The 23640-nt window shown below is 44.2% G+C and overlaps 1 protein-coding gene and 1 pseudogene across 3 annotated transcripts in view, besides 1 other annotated feature; one reads left to right on the top strand and one right to left on the bottom strand.

Annotated features, from left to right (window-relative positions):
* Positions 1–23640, top strand: part of SEC63 (SEC63 protein translocation regulator) — a 90453-nt gene that overhangs the window by 3907 nt on the left and 62906 nt on the right. The gene's annotated exons all lie outside the window — the stretch shown is intronic.
* Positions 963–1257: a silencer, noted in NCBI's record as "tiled region #2315; K562 Repressive non-DNase unmatched - State 7:EnhWF". NCBI's record gives its function as "represses a minimal TATA promoter and a strong SV40 promoter by Sharpr-MPRA in K562 cells {active_cell/tissue: K562}" and the evidence as "EXISTENCE:reporter gene assay evidence [ECO:0000049][PMID:27701403]".
* On the bottom strand, positions 22048–22502 carry RPL23AP50 (ribosomal protein L23a pseudogene 50; annotated as a pseudogene).

The raw sequence follows: 23640 nt of genomic DNA, 5'->3' as shown, positions 1-23640 counted from the left end.
ATTAGGGAGTGGTGATGACTCTTAACGAGCATGCTGCCTTCAAGCATCTGTTTAACAAAGCACATCTTGCACCGCCCTTAATCCATTTAACCCTGAGTGGACACAGCACATGTTTCAGAGAGCACAGGGTTGGGGGTAGGGTCACCGATCAACAGGATCCCAAGGCAGAAGAATTTTTCCTAGTACAGAACAAAATGAAAAGTCTCCCGTGTCTACCTCTTTCTACACAGACATGGCAACCATCCGATTTCCCAATCCTTTCCCTGCCTTTCCCCTCTTTCTATTCCACAAAACCGCCATTGTCATCATGGCCCGTTCTCAATGAGCTGTTGGGTACACCTCCCAGACGGGGTGGTGGCCGGGCAGAGGGGCTCCTCACGTCCCAGTAGGGGCGGCTGAGGAGAGGCGCCCCTCACCTCCCGGACCGGGCGGCTGGCCGGGCGGGGGGCTGACCCCCCCACCTCCCTCCCGGACGGGGCGGCTGGCCGGGCGGGGGGCTCACACCCCCACCTCCCTCCCGGACGGGGCGGCTGGCCGGGCGGGGGGCTGAACCCCCCACCTCCCTCCCGGACAGGGCGGCTGGCCGGGCAGGGGGCTGACCCCCCACCTCCCTCCCGGACGGGGCGGCTGGCCGGGCAGAGGGGCTCCTCACTTGCCAGTAGGGGCGGCCGGGCAGAGGCGCCCCTCACCTCCCGGACGGGGCGGCTGGCCGGGCGGGGGGCTGACCCCCCCACCTCCCTCCCGGACGGGGCGGCTGGCCGGGCGGGGGGCTGACCCCCCACCTCCCTCCCGGACGGGGCGGCTGGCCGGGCAGAGGGGCTCCTCACTTCCCAGTAGGGGCGGCCGGGCAGAGGTGCCCCTCACCTCCCGGACGGGGCGGCTGGCCGGGCGGGGGGCTGACCCCCCCACCTCCTTCCCGGACGGGGCAAATCTGAAAAATTCTGAAGCACATTTGTTCTTAAGGATTTTAAGTAAAAGATGAGGACCCCCGTAGTACAGTTTTGGGGAAACACAACAGCATATATAAGTATTTTTATTTTTTGAGATGGAGCCTTGCTCTGTCACCCAGGCTGAAGTGCAGTGGCGTGATCTCGGCTCACTGCAACCTCTGCTTCCCGTGTTCAAACGATTCTCGTGCCTCAGCCTCCTGAGTAGCTAGGAAAACTGGCGCGAGCCACCATGCCTGGCTTATTTTTGTATTTTTAGTAGAGATGGGGTTTCACCATGTTGGCCAGGCTGGTCTCGAACTTCTGACCTCAATTGATCCACCTGCCTCGGCGTCCCAAAGTCCTGGGATTACAGGCGTGAGCCACTGTTCCCTGGCCACAGCAGCATATTTTAATACTTGTTTTTGAGGCTTAGTTTATTTAGTTTTCCTGTGAAACAGTTAAGTAGCCAAATACAAAAATGTAGGCATGCGTTTGAATTTCAGACTTCTGACAGTATTTTCAGAGATAGCATGTGCATGAAAGCATGAAAAGGTTTGCTCTGGCAGTTACACAACCTTAAAGTTCAGTTTAAGTAATTTTTTTTTTGTTTGTTTTGGCATGAAGTCTCGCTCTGTTGCCCAGGCTCCAGTGCAATAGCAAGATCTTGGCTCACTGCAACCTCCACCTCCCAGATTCAAGCAGTTCTCCCACCTCGGCCTCCCAAGTAGCTGGTATTACAGGTGCCTGCCACTACGCCCGGCTAATTTTTGTATTTTTAGTAGAGACAGAGTTTCACCATGTTGGCCAGGCTGGTTTCCAACTCCTGACCTCAAGGGATCTGCCCACCTCGGCCTCCCAAAGTGCTGGGATTACAGCTGTGAGCCACTGTGCCCGGCCCAGTTTAACTAATCTTTATTGAGGTTTTTTTTTGTGTGTTTTCTGCAACACATTTGGGACTTTCAATTTTTAAGGTTGACAGTCGTTTCAGCATGGCTGTTTTGGAATTAGTGGGCTCTTGAATACACCAGAAAGCATAGCACCATTTCACAGCTTGTAAAGTCTGCGGTTTGAAAAATGGAAATAGTTCGTTTATTGGCATATTTGACATGTTAATTGAACGTACCTGTTATCTAAAACATTATTAATGGAATACTTTTGCCTTGATTTCTGCTTAACATGTTTAGCTAAGCGTACTTATAATTAATACCCCTTTTAGTAGTTATTTGTTTTACTCTCTTGGTTTGCAAATTGGCTGAATAAAATGAATATTTCTTCAGACAATTAAGGACAAAAGCTCTGTATGCAATGATAACACGGAGGGCTTAGATTTCCTTGGCATAGTGATTCTTAACCCTGGCTACACATTAGAATCACTTCGGGAACTTTTTTTTTTTTTTTTTGAGATGGAGTCTCGCTCTGTCACCCAAGCTGGAGTGGAGTGGCGCGGTCTCAGCTCACTGCAAGGTCTGCCTCCTGGGTTCACCCCATTCTCCTGCCTCAGCCTCCCGAGTATCTGGGACCACAGGCGCCCACCACCACGCCTGGCTAATTTTTTGTATTTTTAGTAGAGACGGGGTTAGCCAGGATGGTCTTGATCTCCTGACCTCATGATCCGCCTGCCTCAGCCTCCCAAAGTGCTGGGATTACAGGCTTGAGCCACCGCGCCCGGCCCACTTCGGGAACTTTTTAAAACACTTGTACCCATCCCCAGATACTCTGATTTATTTGGTCTGGAGTGGGTGTTATGTACTGGTATTTTTTAAATATCCCTATATGATTCTAAATTGTAGCTATGTTTGAGAAGTGCTGCTTGGAGGAGAGCTTCCTTAGTAATGGTCTTTTGCTGTAGTTGCCATTTTGGGAGGTAGTATATTTGTTTTGCTATGTGCTCTTTGCTAACAACAACAACAAAATCCAAAAAACTAATGTGTTAGCCTTTTTGTTTTACATAGCTAAGAAGCACTTACAGAACAGTAACGTAAAGTTCTGGGAGTTAAAAGCCAGATATTTTTGTCAAACAACTTTAATGATACAAGTTTACAATCAGTTTATCATAGTTGTCTATTAATGGCTTCCAGAGTATTTACCATTGTGCTATGATTGGAGCCTTATGTAATTTGGATATCCTTAACATTTTGAAATAATTGCACATAATTACCTTAACACTACCCATCTTTGGTATTGCCAACAATACTGTGCTGTGACCTTTTGTGTGTACTGCCCACTTTGTGCTTTCTTGTAATTGTTAATGTTTGTCTTTCCTAGTGCTTTTAAAATGAGAAGTGTTCTTAATGTTTATGTGGAATTTCAATCCAACCATTATTTGTAAGTGCATAATTTTGTTTACTGCTTTTTTGATTTACAATAGAAGAGTTATCACTTTAAACATTTTATATCATTAGGCTTTCATTGATATATTTGACAAGAGTATTATCTGACAAGAGAAAATAACTGATTGCTTGTAATTATTAGAATTTCGAATAATCAAAAGCATGCTTTTATTCTTTCCGTAGGTTATGGAAAGAATTCCTTTTGAATTGAGATAAAATGTATCATTTAAAAAAAGTTTTTGTTGACTCCTTGATCTTACTTTTGGGGCTTGATCTTCCCTTTTCAAAACTTACTTAACCTTACTTTTTCAAAATGCCTGGTTTTGAAATGTGGCTCTGCAGCCTACTGTAATTTTAGGCAAGTTATTTAACTTCCGTGTGTTTCAGTATACTCATCTGTATTGGTTACTGATTTAACTTCTGTGTATCTCAGTATACTCATCTTTATTGGTCATACTCATCTGTTACGGTCAGAGAAGATACTTTGTATGATATCTGTCTTTCAAAATAAAATATCTTGTGGCTTAACATATAGTCTATCCTGCAAAACGTCCCATGGCACTTCTGAACAATGTATGTGCTGCTGCTGTAGGGTAGTGAGCGTTGTATATGTCTGTTAGATCTAGTTGGTTTGTGTTAAGTCCTCTATTTCCTTATCTTCTTTTTGGTTGTTCTATCCATTTTTGGGGATGGAGGGTGTATTGAAGTCTGAAACTATTATTGTAGCACTGTCTGTTTCTCTCTTCAGTTCTGTTGGTTTTTGCATTGTACATTTTGATGATCATTAGATACGTAAATGTTTATAAATGTTATATCTTCTTGCTGTATTGAACCTCTTACTAATATGTAATGTCTTTTATCTCTTGTAATCTTTTTTGTTTTAAAGTCTATTTTGTCTTATAGTCACCACCCTGCTATCTTTTGGTTACTGTTTCCATGGAATATTTTTTCCATCCTTTCACCTTCAATCTGTTTGTGTCTTTGGATATAAAGTGAGTCTCTTGTAGATGGACGTAGTTGGATCAGGTGCTTTTAATCCATTCTGCCAGTCTTTTGATTGGAACATTTAACCATTTACATTTAAAGTAATTACTGTTAAGGAAGGAGGGCCAGGTGCAGTGTTTCATTCCTGTAATCCCAGCACTTTGGGAAGCTGAGGTGGGAGGAACACTTGAGTCCAGGAGTTTGAACCAGCCTGGGCAACATAATGAGACCGTGTTCCTACAAACAAACAAACAAAAAAATATTAGCCAGGCATGGTGGCACGCACCTTTAGTCCTAGCTACTCAGGAGGCTGAAGCAGGAGGATCACTTGAGCCCAGGAGATCGAGGCTGCAGTGAGCTATGATCATGTCACTGCACTCCAACCTGGATGACAGAAGGAGACCCTGTCACACACAAAAAGTAAAAAGAAGGACCTCTGTCATTTTGCTATTTGTTTTCTATAGGCATATATCCTTTTGTTCCTTATTTCCTGCATTACTATTTTTTTGTTTAGCTGATTTTTTTTGTAGTGAAATGTTTACATTTCTTTGCATTTTCTAATTTTTATTTTATTTTATTTTTAAATAGAGACTGGGTTTTGCCATGTTGCTCAAGCTTGTCTCAAACTCCTGGGCCCAAGTGATCTATGTCTCGGACTCTCAAAGTGCTGGGATTACATGTGTGAGCCACTGCTCACATCTCATTTTCTTTTGAGTATATTCTGTAGTTACTTTTTGTGTGGTTACCATGGGGATTACATTAAACATCCTAAATATTGTAATTTCAATTTATACCAGTTTAACTTTGACATATAAAAACTCTGCTCCTTTATAGCTCCTTTCCCACCTCTTTCAGTATTTGATTTCCCCTAATTACATCTTTATACATTGTGTGCCCCAAAGCATAAACTAATAATTCTTTTAAATGCATTAGTTTATTGTTTAGAAAACAAAGTGTGGATGTAGGGGCCAAGGGAAACTTCCCTTTTGCCCTCTGAAGATTGGCTGAAAAATCAACTCAGACAAGGTGGATTAATTGGAGGAAAGACATACACATGTATTTAATGTGAACATGGGGCGAACCACAGAGTGATTCCCCACATCCCAATGTAGTTCAGAAGCTTATATACCATCCTGGTGAAACAGGTTATGGGAAGGGGGAGAAGAGGAATTCTGTTGATAGGATTGCTAGGGACAATGGATCAGAGAACAGAGATTAACTTGTACATTATCTTGTGAAGGGTCTGTTTAGGTGTGGTTACCTTCTTGGTCCTACAGGAGGAGAAGAAAAGCAGTTGTTCGTTTTGGTGGGTCTGGATCTTAGGCAGATGAAGGCTTTGGGATATGGTGGGGGGCATCAGGAGGGCAGGGAGGAAAGTCAGAGAGACCTTGAGGCTTCTTCATTCAGCATGTCAAAATGCCATATTTTGGGTATCACTGAGCCCCAACATGGAGGTACAAACCAAGGAACTAAAATTGACCAACAGCCTTCGTAATTTACCCTCCAAGCCTTTCCCGGAAAGTTGCAAGCCTTCAGTAGACTCCAGAGTTACATCTAGACTCAGCTCTGTTGCTGTTCAGTGAGTGAGTGCTAGCTAGCCTGAAGGTGGGTAGTGCGGAATGCACTCACGGTAGCACTTTGAGCTAGATTCATGTATTATCTCATTTTATTCATGAGAAAACTGCGTCCTAGAGGAGGTTACCAACTTTCCTAAAGTCATACAGCTACCAGGTGGAAGACTGTTTGTTGGACTCAACTCTGTCTTATGCCAGAGCATCTCTTGTTAGCCACTACTCTCTGCTGCCTCCTGTAATTAAGTAAATATAACACATTACGATATGTGTTAAAATGGCTAGTGGAAGGTGCTTTGGGAGCACATAGGAAGGAGTAAATAATTATATTTTGGGATTTGGGGAAGTGTTTCATGCAGAGGAGGTGACACGAGATAGGTCTTAAAAGGTAAGTGGGAGAAGGGCATTCCATATATAGGGGAAAGTATATGCAAAAGCATGGAGGTGTTTAGTAAATGGTAAAGATTTGAATGTGATTGGCACTTACGACCAACTCAGGTATTTTAAGAGGGTTATACTTTATCCTGTAAGTTATTTGGTAAACAATGGAGGTTTTAAAGTATGGTAATAAAACATGGTCAGTTTGGCTTTTGTGGAATATTGTGTGGAGAATGGTTTGGTGGGTGGAGGGGGAGGTTGGTGATGGCTGGGTGGGAAACTAGATGGAGGGGGTGTCCATTTCAGAGGCTCTTTCCAGTGACAGGTGGTCAGATTAGAAAGAGAATTCTAAGAAAGCTTGGACTGTTTATTGAATATAAGTACTGAGGAGAGAATGAGAGTGGAGTGCAGATTTTGAATTTTCACTCATTTCTAGGATTACTTATTTCTTGTCCTCTTGAAAGCTTTTGGTGATTGGCCCAATGATCAGTTTGGGGATTTAAGTGCAGGGAAAAGAATGGGGATGAATTTTTTTTTGAGACTGGATCTCATGTTGTTACCCAGGTTGGAGTGCAGTGGCACCATCACTGCTCCACTGCAACCTCAATCTCCTGGGCTGAGCCATCCTTCTGCCTCAGCCTCCCGAGTAGCTAGAACTGCACGTGCACACCGTCACTCCCTATAGAGTTGTAATTACAGTAGGATGGGTTATCTCAGTCTCCTGTTGAGTGGTTTGGTTTTTTTGTTCTTTTTTTTGACAATAACTTCTTGTCCGATAGTGAGTGTTTTTGTTTTTTGTTTTGTTTTGTTTTTGAGACAGGGTCTCACTCTGTCACCCAGGCTGGAGTGCAGTAGCACAATCTTGGCTCACTGCAACCTCTGCCTCCCAGGCTCAAGTGATCCTCCCACCACAGCCTCCAAGTAGCTGGGACTACAGGTGCGCCATCATACCCAGCTAGTTTTTATAATTTTTGTAGAGATAGGGTTTCACCAGGTCACCAAGGCTGTGTTTTTTAACATTAGAAAAAACTAGCTTGTATCAGCTTTGTATTCAAAGGGATATGTCTTAATGTTCATATTTAGAGCTTATGGTTGATGTTTGGTTTGAGACAGAGTCTTGCCCTGTTGCCCAGGCTGGAGTGCAGTGGCATGATCTCAACTCACTGCAACCTCTGCCTCCTGGGTTCAAGTGATTCTCCTGCCTCAGCCTCCTGAGTAGCTGAGATTACAGGAGCCCACCACCACGCCTGGCTAATTTTTGTATTTTTAGTAGAGACGGGGTTTTTCCATGTTGGCCAGGCTGGTCTTGAACTCCTGACCTCAGATGATCCGCCCGCCTCAGCCTCCCAATGTGTAGAGCTTACAGTTTTCTCAGGCTTTAGCTCTTGAAGGAATATTAGCGATCTGATAAAACTTTAAATTGTTTTAAAAAGTTATTCCTTCTTTGTTCTATCCTGACAGAGGGGTGTATCAGACATGCAGCATATACACACTTAAGTCCTATACAGAGGAAAGCAGTTGGGAACTTGGCAGTAGGAATTACAGGACAACATGAAGGTTTTATAAATGTGGTGACAAACATTAGATTAATAACTGCATTATGTTGGCCGGGTGTGGTGGCTCACACCTGTAATCCCAGCACTTTGGGAGGCTGAAGGCGGGCAGATTGTTTGAGGTAAAGAGTTTGAGACCAGCCTGGCCAACATGGTGAAACTCCGTCTCTACTAAAAATACCTGTAATCCCAGCTACTCGAGAGGCTGAGGCAGGAGAATTGCTTGGACCCGGGAGGTGGAGGATGCAGTGAGCAGAGATTGTGCCACTGCACTCTGGCCCGGGCGACAGAGTGAGACTCTTGTCTAAAAAAATAAAAAATAGGTCAGGTGCGGTGGCTTATGCCTGTAATCCCAGCACTTTGGGAGGCCACGGTAGGCGGATCATGAGGTCGGGAGTTCGAGACCAGCCTGGCCAATATGGTGAAACCCCGTCTTTACTAAAAATACAAAAATTAGCTGGGCATGGTGGTACACGCTTGTAGTCCCAGCTACTCGGGAGGCTGAGGCAGGAGAATGGCTTGAACCTGGGAGGCAGAGGTTACAGTGAGCTGAGATCGCACCACTGCACTCCAGCCTGGGCGACAGAGTAAGACTCCGTCTCAAAAAATAAATAAATAAATAAACAAACAAACAAAATACAGGAAAAAAACCGCCTGCATTATGTAAAATTGCTTTTATTTAAACATCTTGTTGCATATCTGCTTGATCTTGGGAGGACCTGATAAAGATAGGCTTATTTTCTTTTCTTAGATGCCTGTTCCCTTAATCATACTTTTTATTCAGACATAAAGAAGGTGATTACAAATGTATTCATAAATTGCTTAGACTTCCTTTTAAAAATGTTTTCCTATTATTACCAGACTTTATTGATGACAAATGTTGTTACACTATTTCACCATCACATTGTTTCTTTGAAAGGCGATGCTGTTCATTCTTTTAAAAAGATGTTCTCGGCTGGGCTCGGTGGCTCACGCCTGTAATCCCAGCACTTTGGGAGGCCGAGGGGGGTGGATCACGAGGTCAAGAGATCGAGACCATCCTGGCCAACATAGTGAGCCCCCTCTCTACTAAAAATACAAAAATTAGCTGGGCGTAGTGGTGTGCACCTTTAGTCCCAGCTGCTCGGGAGGCTGAGGCAGGAGAATTGATTGAACCCGGGAGGTGGAGGTTGCAGTGAGCCAAGATCGCACCATTGCACTCCAGCCTGGGCGACAGAGTGAGACTCTGTCTCAAAACAAAAAAAAAAAAAAGAAAAGAAAGATATTCTTTACATTTTGGAATTCTGTTTATGTCAGTAGGAGTTTTCTCGTGTAGATTCCAACTCTTTTTTTGCTTTAGATTTTTTTTTTTTTTTTTTGAGACGGAGTCTCGCTCTGTTGCCCAGGCTGGAGTGCAGTGGCGGGTTCTAGGCTCACTGCAAGCTCCGCCTCCCGGGTTCACGCCATTCTCCTGCCTCAGCCTCCCAAGTAGCTGGGACTACAGGCGCCCGCCACTACGCCCGGCTAATTTTTTGTATTTTTAGTAGAGACGGGGTTTCACCGTTTTAGCCGGGATGGTCTCGATCTCCTGACCTCGTGATCCGCCCGCCTCGGCCTCCCAAAGTGCTGGGATTACAGGCGTGAGCCACCGCGCCCGGCCTAGATTTTTGTTTAGTTTTAGTAGTTACTGATTAAGCGTTCACTGTTTGACCGTACAGGTACAGCAGATGATACAATGATGAATGCAGTATAAACATAGTCTTATTTTGGTAGAATTTGTAACCCAGGTGGGGTGACAGGCTTAGGATTAGACTAATGCACAGACTCCAAAATTTCTATTTCCAGGCTAGACTTCTTTATTTTTATTTTTATTTTTATTTTGGAGACAAGAGTTTTACTCTGATCTAGGTTGGAATGCAGTGGTGTGATCGCGGCTCACTGCAACCGCCACTTCCCGGGTTTAAGTGATTCTCCTGCCTCAGCCTCCTGAGTACTTGGGATTACAGGCATACACCACCACCTGCAGCTAATTTTTGTATTTTTAGTACAGACGGGTTTCACCATGTTGGCCAGGCTAGTCTTGAACTCCTGACCTCAAGTGATGTGCCCACCTCGGCCTCCCAAAGTGCTGGGATTACAGGCATGAGCCGCTGCACCTAGCCCAGTCTGAACTTCTTTCCTCAGACTCCAGACTTGTGTGTATAAGTGCTTAACCCACATTTCCACTTGGATATCTAATAGAGATCTTTCTATGAATATGCACAAAATTGACAGGATTACTTTCTTCCCCTCCCCTCCAACCTTCTTGACCCATAACCTTTATCTCAATTAATCACAACTGTCTTTTCAGCTGTTCAGGAAAGAAGTCTTGGGAGTCATTCTTTATTTTTTATTTACATTTTTACCTTTAAGCTCTGGTGGACTGGATTAGAAGTTACTCTTGATTCATCTCTTTCTCATACTCCACTTTCAGACTACTAGTATGTTCTTTTGGCTCTACCTTTGAAATACATCGTGTCCGACCATTTCTCATCACTCCACCAACACCACTGTCCTGGTTTATTGCCTAGATTATCATTAGCTTCCTAACTAGTCTGTTTCTACCCTGGCTGAGTGTAGTCTTTTCTCAGAATATTAGCAAGGATCCTTTATAACAGAAGTCAGCTCATACAGTTCTGCTCAGAACTCTTCAGGGATCTGTCTCAATCTGACTAGAAGCTCAAGTCTTAGCGAGTATCCTGTAAAGTCCTTCGTGGTCTCTTTGATCACTTTGCTGTTTCCATTCCAGCCATACGTGCTTCACTGCACTTTTGAACACAGTGAAACACACTCTTTCAGTCTTTTACTGGTTGCTGCTCCCTTTGCCTGGAATACTTTTCCTCTAGATAGTCACATTACCTCTTCCCTCATCTCTGTTGTCTTTGCTCAGATGCCATCTTCCCTGAGCTTCCTATTTTAAATTGTAGTGTTTCTTACCCCTACCTTACTAATTTTCTCTCAAAAGAACCCTTCAACAACATGGGTTTGAACTATGTAGGTCCACTTATACGTGGATTTTTTTCAGTAAATATATTGGAAAACTTTTTGGAGACTTGTAACAGTTTGAAAATGTTTTGCAGAAGAACTGTAGCCTAGAAATATCAAAAAGAAATTAAGAAAAAGGTATGTTATAAATGCATAAAATGTATGTAGATACTAGTCAGCTTTATCATTTGCTACCATAAAAGAAACACATATCTATTGTAAAAGGTAAAATTTATCAAAACTTATTCACACAAACACTATAGACAGGACATGGAGCCATTTGCAGTTGAGAGAAATGTAGTATTAAATCATAACTGTGTAAAGTTAACTAGTGTATACTACTGTAATAATTTTATAGCCATCTTCTTTGCTATTGCAGTGAGCTCAGGTGTTGCAAGTGTCTGCTTAAAACATCGTGTGACGCTAATCATCTCTGCGTGAGCAGTTTGTCTCTTCAGTAAATTCCATATCACCATAGAAAGTGATCTCTTGAGGTTCTCTTGTATTTTTCTTTGTATTCAGTGTGATACCATAAACCTTGCAACACCATGGGACTCATACAGAGTGCCACTAGTGATGCTCTAAGTGCTCCGAAGAAGAAAAAAGTCATGATAATACCAGAAAAAGTTGAATTGCTTGATATATACTGTAGATTGAGGTCTGCAACTTGTAAACAGGTGACATAAACTTAAGGTATTAATAACAGTACTGTAAATATATTTTCTCTTCCTTATGATTTTCTTAACATTGTCTTTTTTCTAGCTTTATTGTAAGCATGCAGTATATAATACATACACAAAATATGTGTTAATCAACTGTGTATGTTATCCATAAGGCTTCCAGTCAACGGTAGGCTATTAGTAGTTAAGTTTTGGGGGAGCCAAAAGTTATATGCAGATTTGTGACTGCACAGGGGGTGGGGACAGGGCCCCTAACCCCAACGTTGTTCAAGGGTTAACTGTACTATATAATTTACTTTGTTTATTGCTATGGTCTTTGAGAGCAGGGTTTTTTGTTTTGTTTTTTTTCTATATCCTCAGTGTCCAGAAAAGTCCGGGTACGTAGTGGATATTCACCAAATATTTGTTAAATAAAGGAGTTCATCATTCTCAAGAAATATTTATATAGTGCCTCCTCTATTCCAGGGAACTGGAAAGAGGAGGGGTGAACACTGTGGGTAAGATACAGTCTCTGCCCTTGAACTTCAGTACAGAGGAATCAAATCGGCTTTAATACTGGCTGCTGAAGAATGGTGGTGCCAACGGGGAAACTGCTGAAAAGGATGTATAGTCCTGGCTTTTTTAGAAAGGAGTTGTAAAAGTGTTAAAGCTCTTAAACCTAGTAATTATACTTCTGGGGCTGTGTTCTAAGGATAGAGTGTTCTGAATACTTACAGGACCAAAGAGATCCACAATACCAAGAAATTAGAAACATTTTATATATCTAATTATAGAATGGTAGGTATATTGTGGTACCTTTATTCATTTGGTTATTAGTAGTCATTAAGTGATGTTTATAATGATCTAAACACGGGGAAATGTTTAGAAATTTTAAAAATTAAAAATTACTGCTAATGCGACCTTAACACAAACTTCAGCTTTTTATTTTTGTCTCTTTCAATTTGTACACTGATACATCATAGAAATGCTATCCTTAAGTGGGCTTTTATGTGTCCCGTTTTTCTCTTTGAGAAGCTCACTTGGGCAGCTGCTGCAGTGGAGATAAGCACCAGGTATCGTCAACACTGCAAAAGGGCCCTTACAGGCCCTGATTGAAGCAGCAGGGCAGCCCTCTAATTGAGTGAAGCTCATTCCTTGGGAAGTCAGTTGCTGGAGCTTCCTTCTTCACAGAGCTGTTTCTCTTCTGAGGGTGTACGTTCAACCTCGCCAACTCTCCTGTCTCCTTTGCTTTTCCAGATATTTTCCTAAATAGAACTAAAAAGGATACTACAATGGTATTAATGATTACTATCTGGGTGTTGGATTGGTGGATTTTTTTCTTCCACTGTATGCCAAATTTTCTTTCTTTTTCCTTCTTCCTTTTTTTTTTTTGAGACACGGTCTCACTCTGTTTCCCAAGGCTGTGGATAGTGGCACAGTCATGGCTCATTGCAGCCTGGATCTCCTGGGCTCAAGGAGCTGATTCCTCTGCCTTCTTGAGGAAGCTTCTAAGTAGTAGGACTATGTAGCTGGACTATGGGTGTGTGTGGGTAGCTGGACTATGGGTGTGTGTGCCACCACACCCGGCTAATTTTTAATTTTTTTTGTAGTGATGAGGTCTTGCTATGTTGCCCAGGCTCAAATTTTCTTTATGAATTTGTATTAACACCCAAAATCTTATTAAAACAATCTCTGGCTAGCATTGCGATCTTGAGCAAGACACACTCTGCACTTATCTCCAGAGGCCCTTTCAGCTCAATGAATTGTTACTACTTTGGGGTATGTGGTGTTTAAAGTTCTGGTGGGACATACATCCTTGTATGTTAAGTTGCCTTTCCTTCTTAGCTAGCATTTATTTACTTTCCTAGTACTTGAGTTTCTCTTCCACTTTCTCTTTGTTTTACCTGTTTTTGGTTAACCTTTTACTTAGGCTATGGATTATCACTATAAGATTAAGACTAAAAGAAAAATAGGAGGACAGAGCTAACAGGGTGGTTAGTAAATTAATAATGAAGCTTCCCAGGTCCTCCTCTCCCTTCTTCCCTCCCCGCGTCCCAGGTAAGTACTCAAAGATACTGCAGCGAGTCTTTTTTTTTTTTTTTAAGAATACTTTTAAGGGAATGGGAAAAGACAATTGTTGCGTTTTCATCCATTTATTCTGCCAACTTTTCCTATCTTTCTTTTCCCTGTGTTCCTGATATGTAGGTCATATCGTTTAACTTGCTTTTCATGTACCGTCTGTAGCTGTGTGTGTGTGCCTGTGTATGTGTATGTGTGCGCGCACTTTAAATCAGGGGCAATTTTGTGTCCCAGAGGACATTTGTGAATTTCTGAAGATTTTTTTTGGTCTCCACTGGGGAGCTGTTCCTGGCATCTAGTGGGTAGAGATCACGATGCTGCTAAACATCCTAAAATGCACAGAAACATTGAATTATAAGAATTGTATAGTCCAAAATGTCAGTAGTGCTGATGTTGAAAAGCCCTGCTCTGTAGTACTTATTTCAGTACCATAAAAGGAAAAGAAAAAGAGATAATATATGATATAATTGTATGCTGCTGTCAAGTACCTGCTTAAGGAAGACAAAGCTCTTGATTTATTTGAACTACTTGGTTTGTATTGGTTTGCACTTAGATTGTTCAGGCATTCCTGAGAATTGTGAACTTTGGTGGTAGAGGGGTGGTTCTGCTGTGATCCAGTGTTTGTTTTTTTTTTTAGTTCAAGAACATTTTCAGTTGCCTTCTAGGTTCCCTCCTCCATTGCCAGAGTATGTGTAGTGGATAGGTGTAAGTAGGACCCACGTTTCTGTAACCCTTCTGATTTAGGTAATCTGTGATTGTGTATCCTGGGTGGTGGTGATGGTGAACAATATGTAATCTTATGAAGCCTATATTCCAAATCCAAATAGTTCTGAACTGGCCTTGGGAATGAGACATATGGCTAACTATTCAGATTCAAGTTAAGAGCATAATGATTAAGATTACTGGATGACTTTTATTTTTGGTCGTCTAGAGCAGTATTTCCCAATTTTTCACTTCCAAGTTATTTTCATGCCTTTTATATTCTGAAACATTCTGGCAAACAAACCACGGTTAAAGGAAAGATTGTTTTTAAAAATTTTTTTTTTTAAATTATTTTTATTTTTAACTATTTTTTAGTTTTTGAGACAATCTCGTACTTTCACCCGGGCTGGAGTGCAGTGGCGTGATCTTGGCTCACTGCAGCCTCTGCCTCCTAGGGTTCTCCTGCTTCAGCATCCCCAGTAACAGGTGCTCACCACCCACACCTGTCTAATTTTTGTATTTTTAGTAGAGATGGGGTTTTGCCATGTTGGCCAGGCTGGTCTTGAACTCCTGACCTCACGCGATCCGTCTGCCTCGGCCTCCCAAAGTGCTGGGATTACAGGCATGAGCCTTTTTTTGATAGTTCAATTTGGTTGGTTAGTTTAATAATGAAAACTGCCTTTGCCAATTAGGTTACATGGTATATGTTTTCTATACATCGAATAAGCTAATCTGCAGCTTTAGGTAAAGCTGTTTTGGAAAAGATTGAGCCATACTGGCAGAAGTGTACTTTTTGTTTTCAAAAATAAGTTTTAGTTGTTTTTTTTTCTTTGAGACACCGTCTCATGCCATTGCCAGGCTGAACTGCAGTGATGTGATCATGGCTCACTACAGCCTCGAACTGCTGGGCTCCGGTGATCCTCCTGCCTCAGCCTCCTGAATACCTGGGACTGTAGGTGTGTACCACCACTCCCAGGTAATTTTTAAAGTTTCTGTAGGGACAAGGTCTCCCTGTGTTGCCCAGGCTAGACTTGCACCCCTGAGCTCAAGTGATCCTCCTGCCTCAGCCTCCTAAAGTGCTGAGATTAAAGGCATGAGCTACTGTGCCCGGCCATTGTAATATTCTTTCAACTTTTATGATGACTTGAATATTTTCAAAACAAAAAAATTGGGAAAAACTTTATAGTCACAGGGAATTAAAAAAATAATTTTAAGAAGCATATTTCGGTATTATAAGAAAGGATTTACTAGGACTAGCTGGGCGTGGGCGGTGGCTCATGCCTGTAATCCCAGCACTTTGGGAGGCCAAGGTGGGTGGAACTTGAGGTCAGGAGTTTGAGACCAGTCTGGCCAACATGGCGGAAACCCCATCTCTACTAAAAATACAAAATTAGCTGGGTGTGGTGGTGCATGCCTGTAATCCCAGCTACTCGGGAGGCTGAGGCATTGCTTGAACCTGGGAGTTGGAGGTTGCAGTGAGCTGAGATCACGCCATTGCACTCCAGCCTGGGTGACAGAGTGAGACTCCGTCTAAAAAAAAAAAAAAAGAAAAAAGAAGTGACTTACTGGGGCCAGATGTGGTGTCTCACAACTGTAATCCTAGCACTTTGGGAGGCTGCGGAGGGAGGATTGCTTGAGCCCAGGAGTTTGAAACCAGCCTGGGCAACATAGACCTCCTTGTCTCTATGAAAAAAAATTAGTCAGGCATAGTGGCATCTTCCTGTAGTCCCAGCTACTCCAGAGGCTGAGGTGAGAGGATCCCTTGAGCCTGGAAGGTTGAGGATGCAGTGAACCGTGATGGCACCACTGTAGTCTATCTAGCCTGGTGACAGAGCAAGACCCTGTCTCAAAAAAAAAAAAAAAAAATTAACTCACCAGGATGAAATATATTAAATTAGGATAATATTATGTGGGAGAAGTAGAATGAAGGACTTTTCATAAATTTTTGTAAATGGATGATGATGGGTATGAAATTGCTGTGGTTTTTAGCTTTCTTTGGATGCATTTAAAAGAGATGGAATTATTTTAAAATATCAGCTTTACAGTTGCAGCAAAAGCAAGAATTGACAAATGGATCTAATTAAACTAAAAGATTCTGCACAGCAAAAGAAACTATCAACAGAGTAAACAGACAACCTACAGAATAAGAGAAAATATTTACAAATTATGCATCCAACAAAGGTCTAATCCAGAATGTATAGGGAACTTAAACAACTCAACAAGCAAAAAATATCCCCATTAAGTGGGCAAAAGTCATGAACATTTCTTAAAAGAAGAAATTTTTTTTTTAAGTGGCCAAGAAACATGAAAAATGCTCAACATCACTAATCAGATAAATGCAAATCAAAACCACAGTGAGAGATCATCTCATACCAGTCAGAATGGCTATTATAAAAAAGTCAAAAAACAGATGCTAGGGAGGTTACAGGGAAAAGGAAACACTTATACGCTGCTGGTGGGAATGTAAACTAGTTCAGCCACTGTGGAAAGCAGTTTGCAGATTTCTCAAAGAACTGAGAATTGTGATTTGACCCAACAATCCCATTACTGAGTATATATCTAAAAGAAAATAAATTGTTCTGCCAAAAAGACGTGCACCCATGTTCATTGCAGCACTGCTCACAATAGCAAAGACATGGTACCAACCCAGGTGTCTATCAATAGCGGACTGGATAAAGAAAATGTAGTGGCCGGGCGTGGTGGCTCATGCCTGTAATCCCAGCACTTTGGGAGGCCGAGGCAGGTGGATCACCTGAGGTCAGGAGTTCGAGACCAGCCTGACCAACATGGAGAAACCCTATCTCTACTAAAAATTCAAAATTAGCTAGCCGGGTGTGGTGGCGCATGCCCGTAATCCCAGCTACTTGAGAGGCTGAGGCAGGAGAATCACTTGAACCCGGGAGGTGGAGGTTGCAATGAGCTGAGATTGCGCCATTGCACTCCAGCCTGGGCAACAAGAGCAAAACTCTGTCTCAAAAAAAAAAAAAAAATGTGGTACATATACACTGTAGAATACTACACAGCCATTAAAAAGAATGAAATGTCCTTTATAGCACATAAATGCAGCTGGAGGGTATTATTCTAAGTGAATTAATGCAGAAACAGAAAACCAAATACTGCATGTTCTGACTTATAAGTGGGAGCTAAACATTGGGCACACATGGACATAGTGATGGCAACAATTGACACTGAGGTCTAGTAGAGGGAGGAAGGAGGGAAGGAGACAAGGGTTGAAAAACTGTTGGATACTATGTGGTAAGCAGGCAAACAGGTTTGAAGACTTTAGATCTGGCTAACGTTCCTTCACCTCTTTGGGTTCTATGATTATGGTGCTAAGAGTTCACTCAGTAATACTACTGACTGGCAGATCATGCAGCATGGACAGAGTGACTGTTTTAGCAAAGGCACTATGTGGTTTATGAAGCACAGCCATAACCCAAATCTAGATTATCCCTGCAGCTTTACTATATAAAGTTCGGCTGCTGACAGCAATTATGACACATTATTTATATTGTTTTATGATCTTAGGATTTCCTGTTTCTATAAATGTGGATAATTTCTTTAAAAAAATACAAGTTAAGGATACTCCTAACATAATTTTTAGTGCCCATGAAAATAGTAATTCAATAAGCAAGAAGTTTATAAGTGAACTTCATTTTATTCTGTTAAGTGTCTTATTAAAAAACTGTCTGGAAGAACTTGACTCATAATAGTTACTTTGACTTGAGGTCATTCATACAGAGATTTTGAATGTGTACCACGAATATTTAGTTTTGCTGGAAATCTAACTGCTACTATGTTAATGTGTAAACTGTGGCCTGTGGTACTTACTGATTGATTGAAATAGTCTCCTAAAAGGTTAAGATTTAATTTTTAGGTTGGAAGAGTGGGGCATACAAGGTCCATGCACACATTGTGTGGCCCCCAAGAATAAGGGGCTGAAAACCATATGTACTTTCTCTTGGCCAGGAACAGTAGAACATCATACCTTTGAATAGATCAAACTGCCTGCTTCATAAAGAGACTTCAGCATTGTTCTTATAAAACCTCATCAAATGTTTCCTTGATTTTATACTTGAAAGTGGGATACTGTAGAGGCTTAATTTAATAAAATACATATTTAAAAATCACTAGTGGTATTTTCAAAAGTGTTCTCTAAACCATGAAAATCAGAAAATTAACATTACCGCCATCTCATCGTCTGACTCCATTTGGGTTTTGTCACTTTCTCAGTGATGTTCTTTATAGCAAAATATCCAATTTAGAATCACATAACATTTAATTGATGTGTTTCTTTATTTTATTTTATTTTATTTTATTTTTTTTAATTGATCATTCTTGGGTGTTTCTCGCAGAGGGGGAGTTGGCAGGGTCATAGGACAATAGTGGAGGGAAGGTCAGCAGATAAACAAGTGAACAAAGGTCTCTGGTTTTCCTAGGCAGAGGACCCTGCGGCCTTCCGCAGTGTTTGTGTCCCTGGGTACTTGAGATTAGGGAGTGTGATGACTCTTAACGAGCATGCTGCCTTCAAGCATCTGTTTAACAAAGCACATCTTGCACCACCCTTAATCCATTTAACCCTGAGTGGACACAGCACATGTTTCAGAGAGCACAGGGTTGGGGGTAAGGTCACCGATCAACAGGATCCCAAGGCAGAAGAATTTTTCTTAGTACAGAACAAAATGAAAAGTCTCCCATGTCTACTTCTTTCTACACAGACACGGCAACCATCCGATTTCCCAATCTTTTCCCCACCTTTCCCCCCTTTCTATTCCACAAAACCGCCATTGTCATCCCGGCCCGTTCTCAGTGAGCTGTTGGGCACACCTCCCAGACGGGGTGGTGGCCGGGCAGAGGGGCTCCTCACTTCCCAGTAGGGGCGGCCGGGCAGAGGCGCCCCTCATCTCCCAGACGGGCGGCTGGCCGGGCGGGGGGCTGACCCCCCCACCTCCCTCCCGGACGGGGCAGCTGGCTGGGCGGGGGGCTGACCCCCCCACCTCCCTCCCGGACGGGGCAGCTGGCCAGGCAGAGGGGCTCCTCACTTCCCAGTAGGGGCGGCTGGGCAGAGGCGCCCCTCACCTCCCGGACGGGGTGGCTGGCCGGGCGGGGGGCTGACCCCCCCACCTCCCTGCCGGACGGGGCGGCTGGCCGGGCAGGGGGCTGACCCCCCCACCTCCCTCCTGGACGGGGTGGCTGGCCTGGCGGGGGGCTGACCCCCACCTCCCTCCCGGACGGGGCAGCTGGCTGGGCGGGGGGCTGACCCCCCCACCTCCCTCCCAGACGGGGCAGCTGGCCAGGCAGAGGGGCTCCTCACTTCCCAGTAGGGGCGGCTGGGCAGAGGCGCCCCTCACCTCCCGGACGGGGTGGCTGGCCGGGCGGGGGGCTGACCCCCCCCACCTCCCTGCCGGACGGGGCGGCTGGCCGGGCAGGGGGCTGACCCCCCCACCTCCCTCCTGGACGGGGTGGCTGGCCTGGCGGGGGGCTGACCCCCACCTCCCTCCCGGACGGGGTGGCTGCCGGGCGGAGACGCTCCTCACTTCCCAGACGGGGTGGCTGCCAGGCGTAGGGGCTCCTCACTTCTCAGACGGGGCGGCTGCCGGGCGGAGGGGCTCCTCACTTCTCAGATGGAGCGGCCGGGCAGAGACGCTCCTCACCTCCCAGACGGGGTCGCGGCCGGGCACTCTCACATCCCAGACGGGGCCGCGGGGCACAGACGCTTCCCACATCTCAGGCGATGGGCGGCCGGGCAGAGACGCTCCTCACTTCCTAGATGGGATGACGGCCGGGAAGAGGCGCTCCTCACTTCCTAGATGGGATGGCGGCCGGGCAGAGACGCTCCTCACTTCCTAGACGGGATGGCGGCTGGGAAGAGGCGCTCCTCACTTTCCAGACTGGGCAGCCAGGCAGAGGGGCTCCTCACGTCCCAGACGATGGGTGGCCAGGCAGAGACGCTCCTCACTTCCCAGACGGGGTGGCGGCGGGGCAGAGGCTGCAATCTCGGCACTTTGGGAGGCCAAGGCAGGCGGCTGGGAGGTGGAGGTTGTAGCGAGCCAAGATCACGCCACTGCACTCCAGCCTGGGCACCATTGAGCACTGAGTGAACCAGACTCCGTCTGCAAACCCGGCACCTCGGGAGGCCGAGGCTGGCGGATCACTCGCGGTTAGGAGCTGGAGACCAGCCCGGCCAACACAGCGAAACCCCGTCTCCACCAAAAAAGTACGAAAACCAGTCAGGCGTGGCGGCGCGCGCCTGCAATCGCAGGCACTCGGCAGGCTGAGGCAGGAGAATCAGGCAGGGAGGTTGCAGTGAGCCAAGATGGCAGCAGTACAGTCCAGCTTCGGCTAGACATCAGAGGGAGACCGTGGAAAGAGAGGGAGAGGGAGACCGTGGGCCGTGGGGAGAGGGAGAGGCAGGGGCAGGGGCAGGGGCAGGGGCAGGGGCAGAGGCAGAGGCAGGTGTTTCTTTAGTCTCCTTTAGTCTGAAGTAGTTATTCACTTTTCCCTCTGCTTTAAAGATTAGAGACCAGTTATTTAGTAAAATGGATTTGAATTTGGGTTGTACAGTGTTTTCTCATTATTAGAGTCAGGTTGTGTATCTTGGGCAGGAATTTCACAAAACTGATTCTGTGTTCTTGTATGCTGTCAGGTGGCATATGATTTTAGGTTGTCTTTTTTTCTGGCGATGCTCACCGATCACTTGATTGAGGTGGTGTCTGTTTAGGTGTTTTATATTTGTTTCCTGTTGCTGCTGTAACAAATTACTACAAACTCATTGGTTTAAAACAGCACAAATTTGTTCTCTTAATAATTCTGGAGGCCAGAAGTCCAAAATCAGTTTCTTTGGGCCAAAGTCATGATGTTGGCAGGGCTACTTCCTTCTGGAGGCTCTAGGGTAGAATCTGTTTTCTTGCCTTTTCCAGCTTCTGTAGATAGCCTGTATTTTTTTAGCTTGTGGCCCTTCCTTCATCTTTAAAAAGGGCATTAGTCCAGCATCTGCTTCCGTTGTCACATTACCATCTGTCTTTGACCCTTCTGCCTCCCTGTTAAAAGTACCCCTGTGATTATGGTCCTTCTATGATAATCTTCCTATTTCAAGATCCTTAACTTAGTCATATCTGTAAAGTCCCTTTTGTCATTCGAGATAGTATATTTACTGGTTCCAGGTATTAAGATGTGGACATCTTGGGGGACAGTTATTCAGCCTACCCCACTGCAAAGTCATTCGTTTCCCCTTTGTAATTAGTATTTTGTGGGAGGATACTTGGATTCCTGGTTCCTGTTAGTGGAGAATGGTATTTAGAAGCCAAGATCTGCATGCTAGATGTGCTCATTGCTACTAGGATTTTTCTGCTCCTAGGCCCACTTAGTAGATAGAGCTAGGGAGTATGTATATATGTATTTAGAACTGCATTTGTATTTCTTTATTAAAAGACATTCATTCGTAGTGATATTTTTAATTCCAGTCCAACAGTACAGGGTTCATTCTTGTTTTCTATTTTTTCACTCCTTTTTCTTGACAGTGGAAAACTGACTCCAGGTATCTTTAATATATTAACTTATTCAGTCAGTTCCTCTGCATATTATCAGTCTCCTTTTCTGCTACCATACTCTCCCCTACATGGATCTCTCCCTCTTCCTGATACTTGGTTTCGGTACTTCTTGCTGGGTAGTCCTCCCATGTGGATGACTTCATCTAAGCATGGTGGTAACAAGGTAGTTGGACTTCTTACCTGGTGGTTTTGGAACCTTCTATATGCCAAGTCCTTTTACTTACCTGTTACCTCATTTAAGAACTGCAGTTTTGTAGATTTTTTTTTAATATGGTAAAAAAAAATTATAATTAGCCAGCTGGACTCATTTTAGATCATCTCAATTGTGTTGGCAGCATTCAAAACATCGTTAAGTTACGAGCCAGTTGAACATACACCTTCTTCTCTCCATCAGACCTGATGAGTATGTTTACCTTGGCCATGCCAGTGTCATAGAGCTTCTTCACAGCCTGTTTGATCTGGTTGGCCTTGACATCCATAGTAAACACAAATGTGGTTGTGTCTTCTTCATGGCTGACTTAGTGGTCAAGGGGAACTTGATAATGGCATAATGATAAAGCTTGTTTTTTGTGGGGGTGTTCTTCCTAGGACATTTGAACTGCCTTTGGAGCTGCGTTGTCTTAGGCCACTGGAAGGTGGGTGGCAAGTCTTATTTTGTGTGGTTGTGGATGCCTTTCAGCACTGCCTTCTTGTTCTTTCAAAGCCTTTGCTTTGACTTTGGCTTTGGGGTGGGCAAGGGCTTCCTCCTTTGTTTTTGGTGCCATCTTCTTAAAAAGGCAGATTTTTGTTTCAAAACTTGATTTTTTTTTTTTTTGTTGAGACGGAGTCTTGCTCTGTCACCCAGGCTGGAGTGCAGTGGCGTGATCTCGGCTCACTGCAACCTGCCTCCCGGATTCAAGTGATTCTGCTGCCTCAGCCTCCCGAGTAGCTGGGACTACAGGCACGTGCCACCACGCCTGGCTAATTATTTGTCTTTTTAGTAGAGAGAGGGTTTCACTGTGTTAGCTAGGATGGTCTCTATCTCCTGACCTCATGATCTGCCTGCCTCGGCCTCCCAATACATTTTTTTTTTTTTTTAAACTTGGGAGAGTCTTTCAGTCCAAGTGCTTGGGGTGAATTTAGTAAAACAATACATACTATTTTTGCTTGGGCTTAATTTCTTTTTAATTGAGCTGCAAGTTTTTCATGAGGATTAAAATAATAGCTTTTTTTGTTGTTGTTGAGATGGAGTTTCATTCTTGTTTCCCAGGCTGGAGTGCAATGGCGTGATCTTGGCTCACTGCGACCTTCGCCTCCCAGGTTCAACTGATTCTCCTGCCTCAGCCTCCTGAGTAACTGGGATTACAGGCACGCGCCACCACACCTGGCTAATTTTGTATTTTTAGTAGAGATGGAGTTTCACCATGTTGGCCAGGCTGGTCTTGAACTGGCTGGTCTCGAATTCCTGACCTCGTGATCCGCCTGCCTCAGCCTCCCAAAGTGCTGGGATTACAGGTGTGAGCCACTGCACCCAGCCTTAAAATAATAGCTTTTGTCACAACTCTTATGTAAACTTAAGTTCTTTTTGTTTGTTTGCTTTGAGATGGAGTTTTATTCTGTTGCCCAGGCTGGAGGGATCTCAGCTCACTGCAACCTCTGCCTCCTGGGTTCAAGTGATTCTTGTGCCTCAGCCTCCTGAGTAGCTGGGACTACAGGTGTGCACCACCATGCCTGGCTAATTTTTGTATTTTTAGTAGAGATGGGGTTTTGCCATGTTGGCCAGGTTGGTCTTTAACTTCTGACCTCAGGTGATCTGCCTGCCTCAGCCTCCCAAAGTACTGGGATTATAGAGGTGAGCCACGGTGCCTGACCCCATAAACCTAAGTTTTACGGGTTTAGGAGACTTTTCCAGCTTAACACAAA

The sequence above is a fragment of the Homo sapiens genome, chromosome 6 (genome assembly GCF_000001405.40).
Source record: "Homo sapiens chromosome 6, GRCh38.p14 Primary Assembly".
NCBI classification, from domain to species: Eukaryota; Metazoa; Chordata; class Mammalia; order Primates; family Hominidae; genus Homo; species Homo sapiens.
This window is presented reverse-complemented; position numbering and strand designations above follow the sequence as displayed.